A 25,675-nucleotide genomic window follows, 5' to 3' on the forward strand; every position below is an offset into this window, starting at 1 on the left:
TTGTATGACCTGCAGTGAGGGATTTCACTGGTCTGAGCTGTAGTTTCTTTCCCTATGAAAAGGAAATACGGGGATGTCTAGGAGGTCCTGAGGATGAAATGAGGTGATGTCTGCAAAAGCTCCTTTGCAGTGCCTAGCACACAGTCAGCACTTGAGAAATATAGTGGGATCAGCATCTTCCCAGCTGAGAGACCAAACCAGAATGGCCTTCACAGCCATGCTCAGCCCTGGTCAAATCCTGGTAAAACAGGCACTAGAGTGTGGCCATTGGAGCTGGCTCAGTGGTGACTTCAGAGGTGGAATGGAGAGCAGATTGCAACAGGCTGAGGAGTGACCAGGAGGTGGGGGGAGGTGGGAGGTGGAGACCTCAAGGAGAGCTGACTCTCTGAGGCACTGGTGGAGGAGAGGGAAGAGGAGGCAGCAAGGGACTCATGCTGAGTGCAGGCAGGTGACTTCTTACAACCCTAGAGCCCAGGGAGACTTGATCCAGCAAAGCCAGCCTCTTCCAGCCTAACTAACAGGGGCGCCTTGTAGCATGCTTGTCTGTACCTGGCCCCAGGCCAGCATTGTTAAGGGCTCCAGAAGGCAGAATGGTCCTCTATACTGACATGTTAGTTGAAAAGACAAGTGTCAGCTCATATAATAAAAGGCCAAGGTTATGTTGTATGGATGAGTACATATAGTAGGAATTGAGAGTCTTATTTGGGTGAAATTTAGGCTGGATCTTCAAGGAAGGAGGTACGATTTGGAACAACCCATGAAAGAGCAGAAGGCAAAGACATTCTGGGTTGGGAACAATGGAAAGCAAGTAGTAGGTCTCAGCTGTGGGAGGGCAGGATGGAATCAGAGTGGGACAGGCCTTGAATCCCAGGGTGAACCGTGTTTGTTCCCATGGTGGAGGGACTTCCCACTGGGAAGGCATGATCGCTATTGCTGAATATAGGAAGTGTGTTTGCCCCTGACTGGGGAGAGCCTGGTGGGAGTGGAGCCCCATCAGAGGGCAGCATGTTCATCCAGGTCAGGCTGGGACAAGGCTGTGCAAGCAGAGGAGGAGCTGGGGAACAGAAATGAGGCTTGCTTTTCCCCTTTTGTTTTTTGAATCCAGGGAACCTGGAGCAAGCTAATGAAGAACTTCGGGCTGTGATAAAGAAAATTTGGAAGAAAACCAGCATGAAATTACTTGACCAAGTTGTCCCTCCAGCTGGTGGTCAGTGCAGTCTATTTCCTAAGTAGTCCTTGGCCAGTGCTTTGGTTTTAATGCTAGTGTCTCCAGAAAGTCCAGAGAGTGTTTGCAAAATGCTTTATGTATCATTTAGAGCATTAAGGCCAACTGATAAAGAAAGCCCTTTGGCCATTTGGTGTGATTATTTTGGGGGTGATATGAAGAACATTCCAGACAAAGGAGAGGCTTCAGTGAAAAACCAAAACTCACATGGCTGGAGCAGGGATTTTCTTTTTGGTGGAGGAATTAATGTTTGAGGACAAGATTGTGATCTCAAAGTGAAAAGCCTATATTTTTTGTCCAAAATGAAATATTCAAAACTAGTTTCCAATTACCCTTCAGTATATTGTTGAAAATGTCCCATGAAAAATAGACAGCTTTCAGGAAATTGTATTTTTGAAATGTTCTTATCAAGACTGAATTTACTACCGTAATTACCAAAAATGTCCTTTTAACTAACAGGCATGCTTATTTCCTTTTGTTATTTATCACAAAATAACTAACCTTCTTTAAATTTTTATATATATAAAAAACATCTATATATATACACACATACAGTGTGTGTGTGTGTGTGTGTGTGTGTATATATATATATATATATATATATATATGCATACTGGCTTTGCATTTTTATTTAAGTACATGTGGACTTAGACGTTGAGATGGTTGTTTTTGACTGTTCTGTTTCCAAGTTTTAAAGGTGCAGGATCTGTTCACCCAGTGCCACCACACCAGCATTCTAGCATCCTTGGGCCGGGCACGTGATGAGCCTTTGGTGTGTTTCGTGACCAGCGAACTTTTATAGCGTCGCTGCCGCCACGGCTTTCGAGACTGGTCTGGCTCAGGTCTGGTAGCTGACTTCAGGACCCAGGCCAGGACGGTGACCGAGGCCCTGCCCCTGAGAAGGTGATGAGCTCTGGCTCTTGGGGCGCAGACAGAGCAGCATGCCAGCCAGCTCTGCTCCTTAGCATGAAGCGAGAAGCAACGTGAGCTTTTGTTGCTGAAGGGGTTACCCGTAGCTGGCACAGCCACAGGCTCAAAGCTGGGGAAGATGGCCCAGAAAGAAATGATAAAAGGAAGACAAACCAACAACAACAACAAAACAAAACAAAAGTCCTCCCACCTGGAGGGCCCTGGCTTCCCACAGGAGAACCGATACTGCACATTTAAAACAACTCCTTGGTTTTCATTCTTTTCTTTTTAGCTGCACACCTAAGAGCTTGCATGGCTTACATGAAATGCTTTGGAAAAATTGTAACAATGTGCTTGAGCTTTTCCTGCAGCCTCCATTCCTTTCACCTCTCAGTCTTTCAGAATATTCTGAAGCAATTCTGTTTTAGGGTGGTGGCATGGAATCAGAGTTATCTCTTGCCAACTGTATTCCCCTACGTTGTTTCTTTAAATACAGATGCATGCTTCAGAATAGTGGGCTATGTCTGTCTATGTAAACCTTCCCCCTGCGAGCTGAGGACCCCGCTCCTCCCTCGCTCCACCTCACATCTCTCTTGGAACGCCACCTTCATCACAACCAGCCAGACTCCCACATTGATGCCCATCCTCGTGAAATGCCCTCGGAGGGTGTCATTTGCATTAGTGTGAAACTTCATTTCTTTTCATTTTACCAAAAGAAAAGTCCAGAATTTAGCTCGCCATCGAAGCTCCCTTCCTTTGAAAAGCTGATCAACTTTTAGCTTTATCAGACTTCTAGTAGAGTAGAAATCTTCTTCTTTCTTGGTCCAATAACTGGACCTCGCCTTTTCTCTCTATTTCTTAAAATGGATTGGAGTTTAGGATGACAGGTTTTAATCTATTCCACAACGGCAGCGAGAGGCAGTGTGAGGCACAAGAAGAGAGAAGTGGGGCCTTAGGAGGGATGCAAGGCTTTGCAAGCTCCCTGCCTGTGTTGAGTGATGTGCCCAGTGCAGGGCTTATCCGGGCTGAATCTCATGTGAGTGCTGTGGCCACGAAGGAAGTTCCGAAGGCAGTGGCCATCAGGCTTTGGTGCATAGACTCTGGAAGAGTTGCCGGACAGGGCTTGGTTCTCCACATTCATCATTTGTCTGTCTTTCCTCTTTTATCCTTCAGTAGGCCCATGTCCCCAACCTTTCCTGCATCACAGCATACTTAGAAAAGGATATTTGCATACCCCTCTGGGAACAGATGTGGAGTTCTTGAGGCTGAGGGCCTCAGCATCCCCTACACCATCACCTGGTCAAGAAGCAGGAGACTGAGTAAGGCCAGCCTCCACTCCAAGTGGCTGGGACTGGCAGATGTGGGGTGCTCAGGAAGCCCCTTTTAGCCCTGGTGATAGAACTGAGTCAGATGCTTGTCTTGGGTGGCTTCGCTAGTGTGCTGTGAGGTGTGGCCTGGCTCCTCATGAGCCTGATGATGAGATCAGGAATGAGCTGTGGATCTGTGGATACATGTCAGGCTTGCTTCACTCCCAGTGGCCCGGGGGTCTCCGCTGCCCCCTCACCATCAGTGCTGAGCCGCCTCATCTCTGCCTCTCAGCTCAGGTTCTCACCTCTGCTCTTCAGCCTTCCCGTGCCATCTTGTGGGTCCTTTCCCTTCATTTCAGAAGCTCTCTCTCCTCCCCAGGACTCTCCTCCATCCATGACCTGGATCCTTTGCTCCTTTGCCCTGAAGAGCACACTGAGCTGCCTCCATTGCCTTCTTTTCAGTCCGGAGCCCAGATGGCCTCCTTGTATTCATTCCTTCTCTTCCTTCCTGTTCTGTCCTGCTGTAGCTTTGACTTTTCTTGTTCTTAGGAACTCTTCCTTGGGCCCAGTCTCCTAATTAGCACAGTGTCTCAATGGAGAAGACGAAGTGACCCTTGAGTTCTCTCCTGCAGAGCTCTGGGTGGGTCTGCCTCTACTCTGGAGGCTGAAGGGAGATCAGAGTTAGGCCTGTATTTGCTAGAAGCATCAGGGTGGAATGGGGTGTGGGTCTTCTTCAGGTAGAGCCAGGGCGTTTTCTGGGCCCCACAGAGAAGACACAGAGCCCTGGAATATAGAGGAAGGCTGTGGCATGGCAGGCCACCAGAGACTCTCCCTGGGGTCCCTGGAGTCATTAGCCAGACAACAGCGTGTCCACTTTTTGTGTGCAGCCTGGGAAAGGGATACACTTGCATGGTGTGAGAGGCAGCTCTGAAGAAGCCCAGCAGCCAGTGTGGCTGGAGACGGCCATCTCTGGAGAGGTGGTATGAAGGATAGGATCCCAGACTCAAGGAGCACACTGTCCTGTGGTAAGGTCCCGGCTTGACTGAGCTGGGCAAGTCATTTAGCCCTCTCCATCTGTTGGAGGGGGTGGTGGTGAGCAGATCCACCATGTCAGAGTTGTGAAGAGGCCATGAGACCCACATGGAATTCTTCTGACACAGGGCTTGGCATCTATAGATGTCCAACAGTAGGGGCTGGCTAGAGCCAGAGCTGATATTCCAAACATACCCTGAGCAAATGGGGAGGCTGGAGAGTACAGCGAGGGGTGAAATACCAGGACCTGAGTGGTCTCTGCTCACCTCCTGCCTTCTTGCCTATGGACCTTGCATCATTAGACAAGCCGAGACAGATTAGGAACCATGTTTTACATGCTACTCAGAGTCTTTGGCTTATACCTGGGTGGCCCCTACACCACTCCAGGACTATCTTAGCTTAGGTTTAGAAGGAACAGAACACTTCTCCAGGCCAGACCACCTGAGACAGCCTTCTCACACAGTAACACTGAGTGGCTTCTGACAGGGAGGCCTGGAGAGGCAGCCCAAGGAGGCCCGGGCATCTCCAGTGGGGACCACAAGATGTTGGCAGCACCTCCTGGATGGGCACTAAGTGAAGCCCACCCCGGGTACATTAGTGAAGGATGATGGTTCTCCATGTCCCCCAGCCCATCAAGCTTCAGGATCCATGTCAATGGATGCCACCGTCAGCACATTTTAAAATAAGGGTGACTCTGAGGGCTCATGATCAACATCAAGTGCCCAGCACTTAAGACAGCCTGAGCCAGGTGGCTGAGTGCTTTACCTGCTTCCTCCCACATCATCCTCACGGCTCCTCTGAGAGGCTTATCCCCACTTTACAGATGAGAATACAAGCTCAGAGAGGTTGAGCCCCTTGCCCCCACATCAGCATGTAGATCTTGCAAGGGTGGCCTGGCCTAAAAGCCAGCTGCTCTGTAGCCTTTGGACCAGCAACCATTCCTCCTTCCAGCCTCTGCAAGTTGTGGTCAGTGGCCCCCAGGGCCCCACATGGCCCCACACACATGGGACGGAGTACTAAAGTGGTCACAAGCTTTACCCCCAAGAGACACAGCACACTGAAGATTTGGTAGCAAGCAGCCGTGGGAGAGCCATGGGGCACATTTACACGTCCAAAGTGGTTTACCATGAGACAGCCAGAGCCTCTATTCTGCCTCATGCATCACCTTTAAAGTCATCAGCAGAGTTCTGATTCCCCAACCATACACGTTGGAGGTTGTTTCTGAACAAAGCAAAAATAAGCCCAGCTCAACTATGAGGTTGGTTGGAGCTGTCACTACAGTGCAGAAAATGAGCTGTTCAGAATTACAAACCAAGAAATGGTATATGGAGCTTATTGGTGGAGAATAGGGGGCGGGGAGCTCATGAAAATCTGAATTTGCAGTCACTTTTCTAAACCTTCCTCTCCTTCTGAGCATGTATGTCACCTTTCTAGGTCTCTATCTTGAGACATCGGGATTTGGACGGTTAATTGCCCTTGATAAGTTTATGGTAGTTATACATGCAAATCCCTATGCACAGGGGTGAAATGTGGCCCGTGAAGCCTCTTTTTGTTTTGTAATTTTTATTTTAAGTAAATAACCAAGACAGCATTTCATAGTGTTACTAATATGCTGCTCTATTAAACTCATAACAAATATATTATTTTCTGCAACCTAGAGTATCAGTTCATTTAACTGACACTAATTTTGAGCCTTAGTTGCTTTGCAAAACCTTGCTTTTTGCTGGTTTGAGACCCCTGTGTTATATGCTGAGACCTCGGTGCCTTCTGCGCCGGACCGCCCACCCGCCCCACTCTGCCCCTGCCCCTGCCCCAGCCAGAAGCAAGTGTTTAGGCTCTTGGTCTAATGTGCTGATTCGGGAGAGCTCTGTCTGGTCTCTCCGTTTAGATGATGAGGTAACCGTGGGGAAGTTCTATGCCACTTTCCTGATACAGGACTACTTTAGGAAATTCAAGAAACGGAAAGAACAAGGACTGGTGGGAAAGTACCCTGCGAAGAACACCACAATTGCCCTACAGGTGAATTGTTGTCTCATTTTGTTTTCTCTTTTGACTAACGATTTTACAAGCTTATTTGAAATACTAGAGAGCTGCCTATTCATGGTTGAGCAGTACCACAAGGATTTTGTTTAAACTGAGATACTACACACTCCCCCAAATGTGGACTAGCCATTTCTGGGCCACAAGGTAAGTGCTTCCCTCCCCGATGCCTACCCCATAGAGCCCTGCACCTGCCACTACCCACGCGGCAGGGCTGCCAGGACGGAGAGGAGCGAGCGCTACCCTCGCACCCCAGCCCCTCCAGGCAGCATCCTCCAAGCAGGCACCCACCTTCCCCACAGCCCTGGGCTCCAGGGTTCTGGCTGCCCAGTGAATGAACAGCTTTCCATCTGAACGCAAGTGCTTTGTTTTGTTTCCGTTTGTTTCTTACCCCACTGCTTGTTGGTTTTTGGTCCATTTCAGTAACATCCATCACCTCCTAGTATGTATTCTGTGTGTGTGTGTGTGTGTGTGTGTGTGTATGTATGTATGTGTGGTGTGTCTGTCTCTGTATGTTGTCTCCTGATGGCCAGGAGGCCAGCTGTGCACATGCTATGCTCTCATGCCCCAGCCAGCCTCTGGTCCCTCTCCCTCCTCCACCTGGGCCCTGCTGCAGGCTCCTAGAGTGTGGATGTGGCTTTCAGGAACCTCTGGTACCAGCCAGGGTCCTTGCATGCGAGGAATGTAGAAACCTAGGAAAGCCCAAAGCTCTGGGATGGGAAGCAGGTATGTGGAGGGGCAAGGAAGGCACCATGAGGACCAGCAGGAAGAGGGGCTAGGAAGGTGGTCTGTGAGTGCCGTGGATGAAGGAGGCAGGGCAAAGAGGGAGAAGATGCTAAGGACAGGGAAGAGGGAACCACAGAGGCTGGCAAATCATCTGAAACAACTGACCTCTGCTGCCCAGAGTGCTCATAATCCATCATGGATAGGATAAAGAATTTTTTAAAATCTATTTACGCCACAATTTTATGCCCCTGTTCTCAGTACATGTTAAATTTGGCCTTGTAGATATTGATAAGGTTCAACATGGAAGAGTCCTTCACTCTTATCCAGGGAAAAATGCGCAGCGTTGTGTGTTCAAAGTGATGGTAACAGCCCAAATGAGGGCTTATCTTTGATCTTGCTGAGAGAGAGAATATGAATATGAATATGAATATGAATGACAGTGAATGAGTGAATGACAAACATGAGCTGTGTGTGTGTATCTCGTGGGTTAGTAGATGGCCTTGTGTAACAGTGACCTGCTGATTCATGGTGCAACCTCTGCTCTACCCAGACAGCTACAGGGGCTGGGGAAAGAGGCATATGCGGGTTGGCAGGTGGACCATGAATCCGACTGAAGACAGTGATCTTCCTGCCTCTCATCACGTATCCTAAAGGTAGCTGAGGGAATCACAGGCTCAGTCACACAGCCCATTGGCATCTCAGGTGGTAGGATTTGCAAATGAAGCTTTCTCACTTCCAACCAATCCAGTTTGTAAAAGTGACAGCCCCCCTCCTGGATTGCAGTTCACAGCTAGCCTCCGAAAGACAAAGCAAACTGCAGAGATATGTTTGCAGATTAGAAGAAGTCTCTGGTCCATCCATCCTTGAGGGCAGCGTGGCCAGGTTGGGTGCCAGGAGAGGGAGTGATGAACATGCTTCTGCAGGCTTGTCCTTAAAGGAGTCCCCTGCCCAGAAGATGAGGCTGGTTAGATGGTTTAGTTCCATTTCCCAGTGCCCTCTGCTTGTAGGGAACTGCTTATTGTTCTGGGAGCCTAATTGGGACCAGAACTTGATAACTTTTCTGGAGGGAGGAACATAGTCTGTCATCGATGGTTGATGTCCTAATTTACAGCCAGCAGGTTAGCTAGGTACCATGAGAATCTTGCATTTTCTGTGAGAGGCATGGCGGCCACTTGGATGCAGGGTCATTTATACTTTTTCTGAACCCCCAAGACTTCCCAATTAGACAATTTCAGCACTTTCTCTAGTGGCTGGAAATAGTGTTTTGATGTTTTAAGATATGCACAAACAACACACAGCTAAGTCATTACCAGGTTTCACGTATGGGGTTTACTGAGTCTTAAGTTGAAGGGTCAAATGGCATGAATGATACAGCGGCAGGTTGTGGGTTAAAAGACTCTTTTTGTGTTGCAATAATGTTGAGGGTTTCTCCTAAACGTTTTTCATTTTATTGTTTATAGAGTTTCATTTTATTGATGAAATGCAAACATTTCCAGTTAGATGATACCAACATATTTTCGCATGGCTCCATTGGGAGCTGAAGCATCGTCTGTAATTTATGTTGAGAATGCAGCCTGGAAAATTAAGTTGTGTTCATAATCTTAATAGAGAAACTGAAAATGTACTTGATTCTGAAACATTAAACATAGACATTTTTTTTGTCTCCTTGAAGGATAATTCTAATTGCATTTTGGCTTCCTGTGCTGTAGAAATGGCTGTGAGTGTGATTTGTTACTCCATGTTTAATTAGCATGAGTAGGCTTTCGTTTCTGCGTGATGAAATACCGGGTGACGATGTAGCAGTTAGGAAAATTTGGTGGGACGGCAGTGGGAGAGATATACCACCAGTGTAACTAGGACAAGGACACAGCCTCGGGAAGCCCCTGAGAGTGGGCGTGGCCTGTTGAGATGGAGGATGGCTTGCCTCCTCCCACAGCAGGGTGCCCCATGGCTGGCAGACTGCGTGCTAATGGAAAGTGGAGCATGGCCGTCGCAGTGTGAGCGCAGAAGTGCGGACCTAGGCATGTGCGTGCTTGTGCTGCGTAGGGTGCAGTCTGTCTGAACAGCTTCCAGGATGGGCCCAAGACCTCTGCGCCCCCACCCCCAGGGAATGTTTTTTCAAGGACACATATACGCACTGTGGTTTTGAACCCTGTGGGCTCCATCTGATCTCCCTGTGTTCAGACCAACTGCAATGCTGCCTCCCACATGAAGGGGAATGGCTTGAGCTCCTGGATCCATGTGTGGGAAGGAGCTCGGCATCCGGTGTCTTCTGGCCTCTGTGGTCTGAATGAGTGTGCAGTTTCCATCCTTCCATCCATCTTCATCATTAAAACCAACCTTCTCTCCAGCCCCTCTACAGAGGGAACCAGAGAGAAGCTGCATCAGGCCTTTTTTAATTTCCTCTTGCGCATCTCCTACATGCCATGTTCACTTTGGGTTGACTCAGCATTTGCTCGTCATCCATTGTTGCTACATCCGAGTGACCCACGAGTTTCCACGAGGGGCAAATAAATAAAGGAACACAGCCATGCAGCCATGAAAATTCTCAGTCCTCCTCCCAGCAGACAGCAATGCATGCTGAATGTCCCATCAGACCTTCTAGATGAGGACATCTGTGCAAGTTACAGACACTCATTAGTCCAGTGTCTTGTGGATAAGAAAAAGACCCCAAAGTGGGAAAAGTTTTGTTCATTTCTCTTTCTTTTAACATTCAAGAATTTCCTTTCTGCAAAAGACATGCACTCCGGTGGAATCCGAGGACACTATGTCCCCCACTCATCCCAGATGGGAGCCTTTCCATCTCCATTGTAGGAAAGCTTTGGAGGGATAGTCCTTTTGCCTGTTTGGAAGTTTGGTTTAAGGAGGAGACCATTATTTCTAGCTATAAAGAATTAGGTTGTTAGGTTGAATAATTGTAAAGCCTGTGCCCGAGCCGCCAGTTGGCGATGCAGGTGGTTGAGGGGAGATGTGGGTGGTATATAAGAAGCAAAGGACTCTCAGCCCCTGATGTGCCCCGCGTGGTCTTCTTAGGGAGGCTCAATGCATAAAGACAGAAGAAAATGGGATCCTCCACAGAGATTTAATCTGTAGAAGATCAAACACCTGTTGCCTGGTCACCTTAGTCTAAAAAGTAGTGGAGTTTTGTTTTGTTATTTTTTTAAAGCATGATTCTACCTGAAGCCATCAAAAGCCTCTTTTTAAATTTTTTTCTTTTTTTAATCTAAGAGGAGAACAGATGCTAACAGATGAGATTTCACTGGCTGATTCGTTTGTTTCAGATGCTTGAACGGATGCTTTAGAATTTTCTGCCTGAGCTACGGCACCAAGCTGGTTAGTCGGAAGGCGTTTGTGGCTAAGGCCTTGAAAGGGAAAAGTCTCAAGTGGGCTTATTTCTACTGAAACAGCATTTCAGAAGAAATGCAGGAAAAAGCAGACCCAAGGCCCCAGGGAGACCCCTTCCAAGCAAAGCACTCCTCCGGAAGGTGGAAGCGGGGCCGTGGCTCATCTGCGGAGCCAGGGCTGCCTGTCGCGGACGTTGCTCACGGTGGTTCTTTTTCGTGAAAGGGAACGTACAAAGCTTAACAGTTTTCCCTTCCAAGCAGAGACTCAGAGAAAGGGAAAGAGTGAGAGAGAGCAAAGGAGGGGGGCAGCTGCCCCACAGAGAAATGAAATGAACACAACTTCCTGATGCTGGCCAGTAAAACAAAAAATTAAAAATAAAAATAAAAAGATTAAGCAGACCTGCCTAAGGTGGGTATCTGACTCCATTCCAAAGTCCTGCATCCCTAGTTTGCCCGAACTCCCAAAGACTGACAGGCCCCTCGGCGCTGAGCTGACAGAGTTCCTTTTGTATGCCAGTCCGCCATGACCTCCTGAGCGTCCGGCCCTGCTCTCTGCAGAGACCCAGTCCAGAATACAGTGAGAAGTGGACAGGCCAGGAAGCTCAGATACACCCATTGAAACTAACACATACACCCGCATGCCAAAACCAATCCAGGCAACACCTCAGGTTCCATCTTAACGTGTCCACAGGAAACACCACCACACCCAAACCTCATCTAACATTGTCCGTCTTTAATTCGTGCTCAGAGCCAGTCTGGGGATGCCTCTTTGGAAGCAGTGTGGTCTAGTTTCAAGGACACTGGGAGTCAGGGAACCTGGGTTCTAGTCCCAGTTTCAGCATTCACTTGCTGCGTGACCTTGGGCAAGACACTTAACCTCTCTGTGCCTCAGTTTCCCCCATCTGTAAAATGGGGTTAATAATGTCGACCTACCTCACAGGGCTGTTGTGAGGAATAGCTAAGTGATTGTAAAGCACTTTGAACGTATAATTGCTTATTAAGACTACAACAATAATAATATCATATGCCTGTTTACTACCAGAACTTTAAGAAATTCTTGTTTTCCTTTGATCTCTTTTCTGTTCTGTACCATACTTACCCATTGAGAAGGAAAATTCCCCCCTTTTAAAGAAATCTAGGCAATGCACAAAGATGTCAACAGAGGTAACCCTGCAGGTTGCATTTTCACATCTTAAGAATAGCAGATTTTTGCCCAAGATGTTGGTCGATAAGGGTGTCTGATCTTGAATTCTCAGCTGATTCCAAGTGGTGGTTGGAGTCTGTACATCTGATGCTGAGCCCAAGACACCCAAAGTGGCCAGTTTGGGTTTTAAGATCAACATTCAAAGTAGCCATAGTGCAGAGGTAATGCAGAAGAATCTAAAAAAATTGAAGTATCTGAAGTGTATAGAGAAAAGAAGGGCTTATGAGCCCCTTTCACCTGCCCTGATGTGTACAGGCTGGAAGCTGTGTGTGTGTGCGAGTGCGTGTGTATGTATGTGGGGTGTGCGGAGACAGGGGAAGAGAGAGCCAGCAAACTCTGGGGGGCCCTATTCCTGTAGAAGTGGACACCCTTCCAAGCATCCTGGGAGGGCAGGAGTCCCAAAGGCTAGGCAGAGGGTGGGAGCAATGTCACCAGTGGGAAGTATGCTTTCTGCAGGCTTGTCCTAGGTGTGACTGACAGGGTCAGTCCCAGCCTCAGGGTCTTTTCCAGTGGTGTCTTTTGTGCCTATGACATTTGCCCTTGGCTGCAGTCCTCACTGTACCGAGAGGTCTAACCTACCTGGACTTCAGTGGACCTGCTGTCCTCATTATGGAAATGGGCCTAGCTCCCGACTCTGCCCCCATGTGTATAAGTGTGCAGACTAGTTAACATCCAGGAGCTCACAGTAGGTGTTGTGGGTTCTCACAGCACAGTCCACAGGGCCCAAGGGCAGGTTTGACTGCTTCGTGCTGCACCACATGGTGATGTGGGGGATGGGGTAGAAAGCCAGGAACACTCCAGTGTGGCCAGGCCACTTGTCAAGATGTTGAAGCACAGCTGCACCTGGTATCAACCGCTGTTACCCTAGCACCTGAGTCTCCTTCCCCACTGCCAGCAGCCCAGCCCCTCCTGAGACTGCTCTGTGACCCAGCAGCTACAGGTCTAGTGCCTGGCATTGCAGGGAGCCTCCAGGACCCTGCTGTGATCCAAAGGCCCACTTCTGCTCTGATTGGGCAGCACCTGGGTATATTAAGTTATAAGAATTTATGAAGAATGTGATGTATCGTCCCTGAAAGGGAAGCCCGTCAGTCCTGTGGGGGTCCGTCAGTCCCTCTGTCTGTCTTTGACCCACCCGACGTTGAGTTGATTCAGTGCTGAAGGATGGCACGTGCCTACCCCCTGTATGTGTCACTCTGTCTCAGAGGGCCGGTGTGACCGACCTTCTAGATCCAAGATTCCATACACTCAGGCCTCGGCAGAAAGGCCCCAAGCGATTCAAGTGGGCGGCGTTTCCATGTGCCTTCTCCACGCTCCTCAAATAAGTAAAAACTGACAAGTGACCACTTTCTAGATGGGACTTAGGGAGTGATTTAAATGGAACAAGAGAGTCTTCTCCACTTGGGCCTGGCTGTGTTGCTGGGGAATGGCATTGGCTAAGGTTGGTAGCCAAGGCCAGCTTAGGAAAGACAGCCAGGAATCAGGAAAGCTGCTTCCAGCTTCAACTCAAAAGGGAAAGAAGGCTTCCTGAAACTTGATTTGCAGTCAAACTGCAGAGACACCGCTGTCGTTTCTCTTAAAGCCTTGGCAGAGAAGTGTAGCTTCTAGTGTAGTCAAAGTTGTGAGAGACGACTCAAGTTCATTATTTAGAATCTTCACAGACACACACAGCAAACTTGGCACCCCCAACACCAGCATCCATAGGCTAAACTCTTCAGCTCCTGGATAGAAGATGAGAGGCAGGCCAGTATACATTGTAGGGAGGCTCTTCTCAAATAGCTTATACTGTTTAACAACCCAATTAAAAATTAATCCACAGGACTATTGGGTACTACATTCTATACTCTTTCTGAAAGTGGGGAGATCTCATTCCTTTGAGAATAATAATTATGTTCAGGAGTCTTTGAGAAGAAAGACTGCAAAGAAGTTAAGTGATGTGACGTAGTAGTAAAAGGTGGTAATTATCGTGGCTTGTTATTTAGTACCATTCACCTAGTGTCCTTTGGCAGCCCAATTGTGTCATGATTAGATGATCTGTGCGAAGGAGCTGGCTAAGACTTACTAACAGTTCTAGGGTGGGTAGAAACCCAGGTGAGTTCATTCTCCTTGGCACCTCTTAGACCTAAGGGACACAGCTGTTTGAGATCTTGGAAGGGCACATAATTCTAAGGCATGGTGAAGGCAACCCATTCAGACGTCCCAAAGGCTGGCTCAGGGAAGCCATAGGAAGGCCATTTCTTCCAAGAGTGGAGAAAGGTCCACAGAAGAGTGGGAATCCTAGATGGGGTAAAAAAGTCTACACCTGAGGAAAAAGTAGTAGTGCCTGTTGGAGGATAGATTGATCAGCAGTTATCAAACTTTTTGGTCTTCGGACCCTTTTATACTCTACATTATTGAAGACCCTTGTGTGTCAATATTTACTGTCTTAGAAATTAAAACGGAGCAGTTTTTAAAACAAGAACATGCAAGCACAAAGACGCCAGGGTGATGACATCATGCATCAGGCAGCCTTTGAAAACCTCACTGTGCTCTCATGAGAGGATGAGAGTGTTGAAGGCAAAGAACATCCTTATGTTATGCAAATCACAGTGACCTCATGGACCCCTGACAGTGTCTTGGGATGCCCCAAGGTCCCCAGAACACACCTGAGAACTGCTTTGGGGGAATGCTACTAGGTCCCCCTAAAGGCAGAGGGTGCTGGAGCCTTTTAATCATCTCCCTTGTTAAAGAGGCTCCTGTGCAGTGGCACTGCCCTAACTGGAGCCCTTCTCCCCCTCCAGCCCCTTCCCAGTCTCAGCCCACTCCCCGGAGGCATGGAGCTGCCTGTGTCCCCATTCGTCTAGCATGGCCGAGTCTTGCGGCCTGTGCTGATCTGCAGGTGTGATGGTCTGAATCAGGGCAGGATAGAAAGTGTTTTTAAAAATCAGCTCCCCTAAGTGCACAACTGGGACCAAGGATGTGTGCCAAACAGGATCCGTTTCAGGGATAACTTTTGATCATTTGTCATCTCCATGCTGACTTAGGAATATAAGAGCTCTGCTAGGGTAGTCAAAAGAGGGTTAGCCTTGATCAGGTGGCACCCCACAGTCGTGACTATAGGTGAGTAAGTGTGTGATTCAGACTCCAATCCAGCGTTCTTTCCCAGTAGGTGCAGTGACTTTGCCTGGGTGGTGGTTGAGGTGGGGAGTTTGGGAGAGGTAAGGCAGCCCAGTGTCACAGGAAGAACAGGCTTAGGGGCCAAGAGTCCTCACTGAGCCTTTGACTCATTTGGGCACATAATTTAACCACATGGGAATAACTTTGGCTCTCCCTTCCTCCCAGAATCTAGTGGAATATTTGTATGTAAGCTCACAATGACTGGTATAAAGATGCTATCAGAACAGAAGTTGTGTTTTACAGCTTCTGCTAAGCCTAAACTTTACAGAATGCTCTATTATCAGGAAACTGGCAAGACTTTTTTTGATTCGGTTGTTAAAATTACAACGAATCAGATTCCTGATTGCACCAAGAATCAAGGTGGAACTGAAACGGAGAGCTCTCAGATTGTGTGCAGGCAAAGGTCATATTTTAGATAATTTCTTTAAAGTTTCCTTTATCTTTCCAAGTGATGGGAATAGCGCAACCCCTAGGGGAGCTTGTGGGGGTCATGTTACCCCTGACTTTTCAGTGAGGGTTGGAATCACTGTGGATGACTAACAGAGCGCCAGGATCCCAACCCTTTATATCTGACACAAGGACCATTCACAATGGACACAAAGGCTGCCATCACATTATCCCTGGAGGAGAGTGGTGACAAAATAAGGGGTGTGCCCACGTGTGATGTGCTGAGGAGGCGGACGGCAGCTTGCAGATGAGCAGGTTTATTCCATAAGAACTTAATCTCATTCTGTTTTCTAATGGAACTAGTCTAAAAAGGTCCCCTCTCATTGGGTATAGACTGAATCCTGCTAAAGGGTTAACCAGAACTTGTCACCAGCGAGACGACTGTGTGCAGGGCCAGCCTAGGCTGAGTGCAGCCTGCCTGTGATGGGGAACAGGCTCTGCCAGGCAGGGTTCTTTGGCTGGAGTCTCAAAGCCTGGCGCTTGTATCCTGAAGATGAATGGCCTGGCCCAGTCCCGACTAGAGACATGCATCTCTTATCTCCACTGCTACAGCGTAGGTCCAGGGCGGGGCTCTGGGCACTTGTGCATGCTTGCTGTGGCGCTGTGAGGGCTGGCAGATGGCTGGTGTGTCTGATGGAGCTAGCTTAGGGACACAGGCAGCAAAAGCATTGCAAATGCATCTAGGCAGGAGAAACTTAACCCTAAAAGTGGGCAGGAGAAAGAAAGGTAAATGGGTGTTCATATTTGATGTCAAAATGTCATCATATTATGCTATTCAGAAGTGTTTTGAGACATTTTAGTTTTTTTTGGTAACTTAATCATTCAATAGAATATCTATGAAATTCCAACTAAATGGTGTCTAAAATTTTAAGCAGCAGTCTACAGGCAAAGCGCCAACATTTCTTTTCTAAAAATTATTTATGATAACATCTAGCATTTTAAAATCAACCAGAAACTAGGCTTGATTCTGTTTAATATTTTATAAGATTGGACATCTTAAAATAAGTCAATAATGTTTATATTTTATAGCAACTCTGTGTTTCTTCAAAACCATATTTCTGCTGTGATGTTAATGGAATGACTTTATATGGCTTTAATTGTGTTGGTTTAAGTGCTAATGACCACTTTTCAAATTAAAATAGTATTTTGCTGATAGAGGTAGACACAGATATGAGATATGAAAGAATAGATAATTTTACTGTTTGTAAAGTGTTTATCCCAAGAAAAAAAATGTTCTTTTTTTTAGGGCTGTGGAAAAGTAATTTTTTCAAGAGTCTAAGATAGTTTTCTGTATTTCTGGGGATTGGAACTTGTGCCTATGGAATTTTGGGAGCAGCCTAAGCTACCTTTTAGCTTGATATGTGTGCTAGAAAAACTTCATTACCATGTTTTGTGATATGTAATAAATTCAGGGTGCTGTGCTTAAGCTTCATGTCAATTCTAGTTTGGGAACATCTGTTTCCCTCACTCCCAGTCGTGGGGGACAGCCTGACCTGGCCCTACCCAGAACACATGTGAAAAAGTAGAGTCAGTCCCTGACTCTTATGAGGTCTGTTTTTTCCTGCCTGGAACAAGCAGAATATAATCATGATTTCTGACTCTCTGCTTCTGTGTCTGGGAAGAGCGATTCTTCTCTCCTCCTCTAATGTCTCTTTAATAAATATGTTGTCATTATTTGTCTTTGGAAGTGGCAACTTGGGCCACCTTTCAACCTTCTCCATGATTTATGTTGCAAACAAATTCTCTGTCCCATGTCTGTTCATTGCACTATCTTGTCGACTAAATCCTAATCTTGTGTATCACTGAAGATGTGCTGGAGACAGTTTTTGTTTCTATTATGCAATTATGTTATATGTGTATTTCAGTGAAATGTCAACCCGTCAACAGAGGATGATGTTAAAAATTATCCAAATAAATAGTTTTCTATTTCTTTTAATCAGACCTAGTCCAATCAGTTGAATGACAGTAAATAGGATTATATGTTGTTTAAACTTGGGAGCATTTCTGGCCTTTACTGCCTTGTAATATGGATTAATGTACCAAATTTACTTGGGGGTGTTGACTTAAGTGCATTATAACCTATGTTTATTTTGTGGAAGCAGCAGCAGGTGTCTTAAACCTTGTCTTTTTGTTTGGGAGCCTTAGATATGTAACCGAGTTTTCTTCCCAGTTGATCCAAAATCAGAAGTGAACCCCTTGCTTAGCTCACCATCCCTTGATGATGTACCCTAGGAAGCTCTGAATGAATGAAATGCGGCTGTTTAGTACTGCCGGGTATGACCTTTCTTCACGTTCCTGCAGCTGTGCTGTGTAAGAGCTTTTACCAACATAGCATTACAGTTGCCTTCTTGATGTTTCCATGAGAATGGCAGGTGGGTCCACCTCAGAACCAAATGACTTCCCAGGCTCAGATGTGCTGAACTCGTGGATCCTGAGAGAGGGAAAGTGTGTGTATGTGTGCGTGTGTGTGTGTGTGTGTGCGTGTGTGTGCGTGTGTGTGTGCACGTGCACGCACGTGTATGCACAAGCATACCCACATGTGCATATGTGTACACACATGCATCCTGAGCCTGTGATCAGAGGGACAGGAGAGCAAGAAGCAGCCTCCCTGACCACCCCAAGAACTGTCTTGGTTTGACCCGGGACATGACTGTCTGTCCCCTATAAGATCTCAGCATTCCTAGTCAGGAAGCTTAAAGCTTTCATTCCCAGCTCTTCCTTCACCTTCAGAATTCACTAAATGGAAAGATCTGCTGCTCTATCTTCACAGAATGGTTCAAACCAAACCCAACCTGGCACCATTTTTAGCAGAATTGTCTCAAAGGCTTGGTGCTTTTGTGCACCAGGCTATTTTTATAAGGGCCTCTTGGGAAGTTCCTGTGTGACTTTACATTCTAAATTATCATCACCAGCACTGGCATTGGCAACTGCAGGAGACCAGTTTTGAGCATCCCCAGACCAGTGGGACCCAGCCCTGATGGATCTGGCCAGACTGCAGCCACCATCCCCTCCTCCTCCCTGAACCACTTCTGGGCATCTGTTCTACCCCATGCTTGTCTCAGGGATGGTCATCATGCCTATCTGTCCTTGCCACAGCTGCCCACATGCTAAGAGGTGTTGTGGAGGAAGGACAGGGAAGCGGTCTCCTCTCCGAGGACCCACCACTTAGTCCAGTTTTCCTTTGCAAACCACCCTGAGGTTGAAGCATTTGCTGCACATCCATTGTCTTAGCTGTTCTCCAGGCCTTTAGGGCTACAGAGCTGTGGACAGACTGCCAGTGAGTGAGGAGGGGCTGCCTGGATACAGGACCGTAGACCCAGGGCAGAGAGGACATGCCTTCTTCAGATGCAGGACTTTCTGTGGAAAAGAATAAAGTTGCCATACAGTCCCTATTAGTCTTTAACTCAGCATACTGTTTTCCTTCAAACTGGTGGTCAAAACATCATCATTCTCTCAGAGCTGGAGCAGTACCTTCCTCCATGCACCATGCATAAGCATCTTGGAATGCTTCCCTAATGAAGTCATGAACAATGGAAGGGCTTATCCTGGGCCCTGTCTCAACATAGCAGGGACCACAGTGAGGAAGGCAGCTGTGAGGGCGCCAGGGGAGATGCAGAGTATCTGTGACGGGCCCAGAGGGATCTACCAGGGGTGTCTTCTGGTGGGTCTTGCACTGCCTGCAAAGGCTGATAAGCCACTTTCAGTTTGTTGTGATCTTCAAAAAGCGGACCCCCTGTTGGTGAGTTCTCAGCCTGCACACAGGCTACAGGCCAGGGTATCCTGATGACCACGGTGGCCGGGTCGGTGTGCGTGTCAGTCTGCTCCGTCGTGGTCCGAGTGTGCTGGTGGTTGCAGTGTGTTGTGTCACTCACTCGTTCCATGGCTTTTTAGCAGAACCAGTGGCCTGAGGACTGCTTGGTCTGCTTGTGCCTCTGGCACCTACACCTAGGCTTCCTCATCCTAGATGCAGCAAGGGAGTCCACATCAGCCTCCCTTTAGATCGGCCAGGCTGTGCTCCTTGCCCTGCTCTGGGCTTGGAGAGATAGGGCTCTTGTAGGCGAGCCTACTGAAGACTGTCACTGAGACAGGGGCATAAGCTCTTGGCCTGGCAGATCCTAGCACTAGTAACCAGGCAGTGTTCCTTGGAAGTGGGGGTTTTGCAAAGGAGGTTACGGGGTTGCAGGCCTCAGGCATCCTACCTAGGACCTTCTTGACCCTCTGGATGCCTGACCATACCAACAACCCTTAGACTGCCTTCAGTGACATCAGTCAGTGCCCTGGATTGGCTTTTGGGGAAGCCTTCCTCCCCACCGCTGAATCAGGAAGGAGCAAAGCCAGGACCCAGGCTGGCCCCAGGGCCCATGTGTGGTCTAACCTGTTCTGCCATTTTCATTGATCTAGGCGGGATTAAGGACACTGCATGACATTGGGCCAGAAATCCGGCGTGCTATATCGTGTGATTTGCAAGATGACGAGCCTGAGGAAACAAAACGAGAAGAAGAAGATGATGTGTTCAAAGTAATTATTCCACGCCTAGCTACACACTGGCCATCTGGAAATAGCAGGGCAGGACTCCAGTTTGGGCAGTTAATCATCCACAGAAGAGTCTGGAGAATGCAGCCCATCCCCAGGGCCTAGAGGGGCTTTCAGACCACACCCTCCCCCTCTTACAGACCCTCCCCAGGCATCAGCACCTCTTCTAGGGCCAGGCCAGCTCTTTCCCTGAGCTTACCCAGCTTCCCCTCACTGCCTGCTTCTGAGGAGCTCGGCCACAGCCGCTGGCCCTGTGGATGAGCATCCTGAGTCCTTCCGGCAGCTGCCTTTGCTACCCTCCTCCTTCCCGGGCCAGCTCTTTGATCTGCCAGCTGGCTGTCAGTCCCCCAGCCCAGAGAGCATGCCCAACCTTGGGGCCACCAGCCAGCCCAGCTGGGTATAAGTCACCCCAACTTGGAGCAACTGGAAGAGCACACTCGAGTGACAGCCGACAGCTTGCTCCCCAGCTCAGGAAATCGGTAACCTTCCTCATCTCGGGGGGACCAACTGCCACACAGTCACATTCACCCTGATCATTGAGACACTCAGATTGTTTTACAGGGATCCTACGGAGCTTGCCTAGAATTTGTTTTTCATGTAGAAAAAGTTACCTAACATAGCTAGTCTGCATCAAATACTTGTTAAATTACCTGGTGTTGTCTCCCATTATTTTGCAGAGAAATGGTGCCCTGCTTGGAAACCATGTCAATCATGTTAATAGTGATAGGAGAGATTCCCTTCAGCAGACCAATACCACCCACCGTCCCCTGCATGTCCAAAGGCCTTCAATTCCACCTGCAAGTGATACTGAGAAACCGCTGTTTCCTCCAGCAGGAAATTCGGTGTGTCATAACCATCATAACCATAATTCCATAGGAAAGCAAGTTCCCACCTCAACAAATGCCAATCTCAATAATGCCAATATGTCCAAAGCTGCCCATGGAAAGCGGCCCAGCATTGGGAACCTTGAGCATGTGTCTGAAAATGGGCATCATTCTTCCCACAAGCATGACCGGGAGCCTCAGAGAAGGTCCAGTGTGAAAAGGTAACCTTGACAATGTGTTTGGACTTGCTCATGTGGTGTCTGCCCGTGTTGCGTCTAGTCCCAAGGAGCAAGGCGGGTCTGTGCTCTGTGCTCTGGGGCATGGAGGAGGTTCCCCGTAGGCATTTGTGTCAGGATCTGTGAGTGCCCCCCAGGTCACTGCTGCCTCTGACACTCTCCACGTGATGGACCTAAAGGATAAGGGCCACGTGCCATCCTACATCCTGTGTGGGGTGCCGAGGGACCTTAAAACAGCAGCAGCCACAAAATCCACCTCTCAATTGTGCTCACATACTGTGCGACAGGGGTTGGTGAATTGTTTCTCTAAAGGGTCAGTGAGTCAATATTTTAGGCTTTGAGAACCATACAGTCTTGCACCTTCTCAGCTCTGCCGTTGCAGTGTGAAATATGTAAGTGAATGGGTGTGTGGCTGTGCCCATTAAAATTTCCCTATGGTCACTGAAATTTGAACTTCATATATTTGCATATGATGAGATATTTTTTGTCTTCAGATTCTTTTTTATGTTTTTCAATCCTTTATAACAATAAAACCCGTTCATAGCCCATGGGTCATACAAGGCCAGGTGGCAGCCCCTATGTGGATGGCGAATCATAATTTGCTAACCCCTACTCTAGGAGGTAGCCTGATGTTTGCATTGTAAATTTGGTTGGAAATTAACTTTTATCTTCTCCCTCCTTCCCATGTTATGCCTTTCCTGGATAGAACCCGCTATTATGAAACTTACATTAGGTATGTGCTCATTACCTGTTTTTGTGTTAAATACTGTGATGGTATGTTACCAGCTGGCCTCTCTGAGTGCTGAAGAATGAGAAACACTTCTTTGAGCCAGCCTATTAAAGGTTATCATAATTCATGGCTGTGGACTCAGAGGTCAGAGGTTGTTGCTTCTAAGCAAAGGCACCTTCAGATCCATATCTCTGTCGACTCTGTTGCCATCCAAGGACTGGTGTCCACACACAAGGTGCACCCCATGGGCTGGCTCCTGCAGGCCTCGCGATGGCACTAGGAGCATCCATTGTGCATTTACAGGGGCCTCAGCCTGTGTGGCTGGCAGCTCCGGCTGCTCTCTGGGGTCAAGCTTCTTGTGGGTGCTTTGCAGCATGACCCAAACCTCCTGAAGGTCAGGAATGGGATCTTGTCATTTTCCCTGTAGCCCTCAAGATATGTGTAGTATATTCCACTCCACATGTATTGACCTGAGTTGAATTGTGGGCGGAATGCCCATTTTGTTGGGGGCCAAGGGAGGATGGGTCTTCCTGTGTCATGTTATGAAGTGAAGTCGGGAGCCATGTGGGCCCAAGTTGGGTGCAAGAAAGTGGAGAAGTCAGAGGAAGTGCCATCCTTCCTTTGGAGAGAGGATTGACATCACCACGTCCTTCTCTGAGGACTGAGGCCAGGATGAGCCGGGTTTCAGGGAGACTTACCACATTCCTGGGGCAGGGCAGCCTTTGGAAACATGGTGGACATGTTCTGTGACAGTTTCCCCTGTGGCACTGTATCCAGAACTCACTCGACCTTCCTGATTTGATACAGCAGGAGGTCAGTGGCCAGGAAGCTCCTTTGTTCCAGGTTCTGAAGTCACACTGGGCTGGAGCTGGGGGACTAGAAGGAGAGGGAGGGATCAGAGCAGATGCCCTGGGAACCCAGGGTCTTTTTCCCTAGGTCCATTTTTTTGTTCTGTTCTCCAAATTGCACCTATTCCTTTGGCTCCAAGGCCTCTGGACACAATGGTTTGACACCAACATTGTGCAGGGCACTGAGAGAGACCCTATCCTGGCCCGCAGGCACACCACACACACAGACACACACACGGTGCTGTTGCCAGAAGCCGGAACAGTCCAGTGCTGCCTGAGGCAGGTGCGCGCTGGGAGAAGCCAGGAGCACCCGGGCAGGGTTGCCGGCCACAGGCAGAGGTGCAGCTGCAGCAGGAATTATCTGCCGCCTGCCCAGGTTCTCAGATCCTCTCTCCCAACTGCAGGTCCGACTCAGGAGATGAACAGCTCCCAACTATTTGCCGGGAAGACCCAGAGATACATGGCTATTTCAGGGACCCCCACTGCTTGGGGGAGCAGGAGTATTTCAGTAGTGAGGAATGCTACGAGGATGACAGCTCGCCCACCTGGAGCAGGTGAGCTGCTCTGGCTCCTGTGGAGAGCGGGAGGCCGCCCTGCCCTGGTGCTCGGCCCACTCCGGAAGCCAGGGCCACCGGCAGCTGCACTTGGGCTTCCCCTAAAAAGCAAAATGGGAGCAGAAACTCCAGGCCAGAGGGAGAGTGGAGCTGGAGAAAGAGAGCCGCAGAGAGGCAGGGTGAGGGCTATTCTTTCAGACCTGTTGCCTTATTTCCACTAGGGGCCTCTGAGGCCTTTTAGTGAAGGCTTGGGAAATGGGAGATGGGCCTGCTTCGTGGCTGGGTTAATGCCTTTCCACCACCCGTCTTTGGAGAGATCAGTTTTTGCTGAATTAACACTTGGAGCTCTGGCGGCCCCAGGGCTCTGTGTGGACGGCGGCTTGGCCAGCCTGGAGCTGGGCCAGGTCCTCATGCACAGCACCTGCCTCCTGCCACTTCAAGGGGTCTCTCGGGGAGATGAAGAAATGAGGGGTCACTCAGCAGAGGGGTCCATCTTGCTTCTGTCCTACAGAAAGAATGTTTGTTAGTACAATGGGCACTCTGCTTTAGGAGGCGTAGCAGGCGGCACAGGCGGATGAAAATCGCCCTCCACCCTCTTCTCTGAACCGCACCTCACTGTGACCAGGGGCCCAGTGAAGTGGAAGTGGAATGGCAGTGAGGTGGCTTCTGGCATCTGAGCCACAGCCTGACCCTCACCCTCTGCTCCCGCAGCCCTTCCCCGTGCCTCTCTCAAATGCCTGACTTCTGAAACCACTGACTCTGAGCCAGATGAACTCGTGTTCCCTTCTCTAGGGCTTTTGCTCACACTGTGGCCCCTGCTTGGATGCCCTCACTCCGTCTGCTGGCCTCATCCCCCCTGTCGAGGGCCTGCTCTAGGGCCTTGCTTTTTATTTCCATGACTGGAATTGAAATCCCTCCCCCAACCCCCAGAAAAGAAAACCTCACGAACCGCATGAGTTCCTCTCTTCCAGCACTGGCCCTTTCCAGCTCGCATTTGATTTCTGTGTGCTCATGGCATTTTCTAAGCCCATTGAGGGTGGGGCTCATGCTTCATGCATCTTGGTGTCCTTGGTGCCCAGCACCTGGCAGAGGGAAGGCACTCAGGAGAGGGGCTCTCACGGAGGAAATGAGTGGGTGAGAGCCTGGCTCACAGGACATCTGCGATCCACATTTGCCCTGGAGCTGAGGGATCAAAACTGCCAGCACATCCCTCAGCACAGGCCTCCAGTCCTGTAATGGCCCTTGGTCTCCATCTGGAATCTTCCATGAAACTGAGGCCAGCCTTGTTCTCAGCCAATCCTACTGTGTCCAAGGGAGGAGGCGGGGAGAGGAGTATGGATGTCAGTCTGGCAGGGTTGAGTGACAGAGCTTGTTACCTAGAACCTTACTGCCCTCCTCTCTGACCTCCAGGCAAAACTATGGCTACTACAGCAGATACCCAGGCAGAAACATCGACTCTGAGAGGCCCCGAGGCTACCATCATCCCCAAGGATTCTTGGAGGACGATGACTCGCCCGTTTGCTATGATTCACGGAGATCTCCAAGGAGACGCCTACTACCTCCCACCCCAGCATGTGAGGCCAGATTTTTTGTTTTGGGTGGAACCTCCCGGGGAACAGTGTACCTCTCCCCCAACCCCCGCTCTGGGGGCCGGTGATGGATGTGTGCTGCCAGGTCAGGATCCTTAGTCCTCAAGACCAGCCCCCAGCCAGAGAGTGTGTCTGCTTTCCTTCCTTTCTCATCCATATCTCACGTGATAGAGCTCTAGCCTCTTCAGTGCTATGCTTGACTCTCTTTGAGAAGAGAGAGGCTGTGGGGCCCTAAGATTGCACGCACACATCTGGTAAGGGGTGTTTTGCATACATAGCATTGTCTTTGAACCTGGGACCATCCTGAGAGGGAGGCAAACCACACACATGCTTTTGCTGTTGTCAGCCCTGCTGCACTCTGTGATGGGGTGACTGAGCCCCCAAAGGGGAAGAGTGGGCTCAAGTGCAGAGCTGGCTGTGCCGCAGGCCTGTCTTGCAAAACCCCATGCCTCTGAGGGCCACCTGGGCATTCTGGTGTCCATCTGTCCTCAGGCCCCTCCAAGCCTTATCCTCCTCCCTCATCTCTGCTCCTCCTCCCTCCCTCATCTTCCCTCCTCCTCCTCCATCTTCCCTCCTCCTCCCTCATCTTCCCTCCTCCTCCCTCATCTTCCCTCTTCCTCCCTCATCTTCCCTCCTCCTCCTCTATCTTCCCTCCTCCTCCTCCATCTTCCCTCCTCCTCCATCTTTCCTCCTCCTCCCTCATCTTCCCTCCTCCTCCTCCTCCCGCATCTTCTCCTCCTCCCTCATCTTCTCCTGCTCCCTCATCTTCCCTCCTCCTCCTCCCTCATCTTCCCTCCTCCTCCCTCCCTCATCTTCCCTCCTCCTCCGTTCCTCCCTCATCTTCCCTCCTCCTCCCTCATGTTCCCTCCTCCTCCTCCCTCATGTTCCCTCCTCCTCCTCCCTCATTTTCTCTCATCTTCCCTCATCTTCCTCCTCCTTCGTCTTCTAGCATCTTCCTTTATCTTCCTCCTCCC

At 49.1% G+C, this 25,675-nt stretch overlaps 1 protein-coding gene across 22 annotated transcripts in view, besides 2 other annotated features; it reads left to right on the forward strand.

Annotated features, from left to right (window-relative positions):
* CACNA1D (calcium voltage-gated channel subunit alpha1 D) overlaps window positions 1–25,675 on the forward strand; it is a 319,123-nt gene that overhangs the window by 285,850 nt on the left and 7,598 nt on the right. For 16 of the 22 annotated variants that reach the window (NM_001128840.3, NM_000720.4, XM_005265448.4 and 13 more), the window contains 7 exons: window positions 1,106–1,207; window positions 6,362–6,492; window positions 19,789–19,905; window positions 20,598–20,965; window positions 21,687–21,713; window positions 22,963–23,112; window positions 24,523–24,686. In NM_001128840.3, the coding sequence (NP_001122312.1) occupies window positions 1,106–1,207; window positions 6,362–6,492; window positions 19,789–19,905; window positions 20,598–20,965; window positions 21,687–21,713; window positions 22,963–23,112; window positions 24,523–24,686 (1,059 nt within the window). Of the gene's footprint in view, window positions 1–1,105; window positions 1,208–1,914; window positions 2,646–6,361; window positions 6,493–10,520; window positions 17,324–19,788; window positions 19,906–20,597; window positions 20,966–21,686; window positions 21,714–22,962; window positions 23,113–24,522; window positions 24,687–25,675 lie in introns of those variants that run through there. The other 6 variants (NM_001128839.3, XM_017007139.2, XM_047448871.1 and 3 more) reach the window with 3 other exon arrangements.
* Window positions 24,032–24,833: an enhancer, noted in NCBI's record as "H3K27ac-H3K4me1 hESC enhancer chr3:53838519-53839320 (GRCh37/hg19 assembly coordinates)". NCBI's record gives its function as "activates a minimal SCP1, AML or CMV promoter by ChIP-STARR-seq in naive H9 embryonic stem cells {active_cell/tissue: H9 hESC(naive)}" and the evidence as "EXISTENCE:reporter gene assay evidence [ECO:0000049][PMID:30033119]".
* Window positions 25,050–25,099: a silencer, noted in NCBI's record as "silent region_14466". NCBI's record gives its function as "represses an Ori minimal core promoter by ATAC-STARR-seq in GM12878 lymphoblastoid cells {active_cell/tissue: GM12878}" and the evidence as "EXISTENCE:reporter gene assay evidence [ECO:0000049][PMID:35858748]".

Source organism: Homo sapiens, chromosome 3, assembly GCF_000001405.40.
Source record: "Homo sapiens chromosome 3, GRCh38.p14 Primary Assembly".
Classification (NCBI taxonomy): Eukaryota; Metazoa; Chordata; class Mammalia; order Primates; family Hominidae; genus Homo; species Homo sapiens.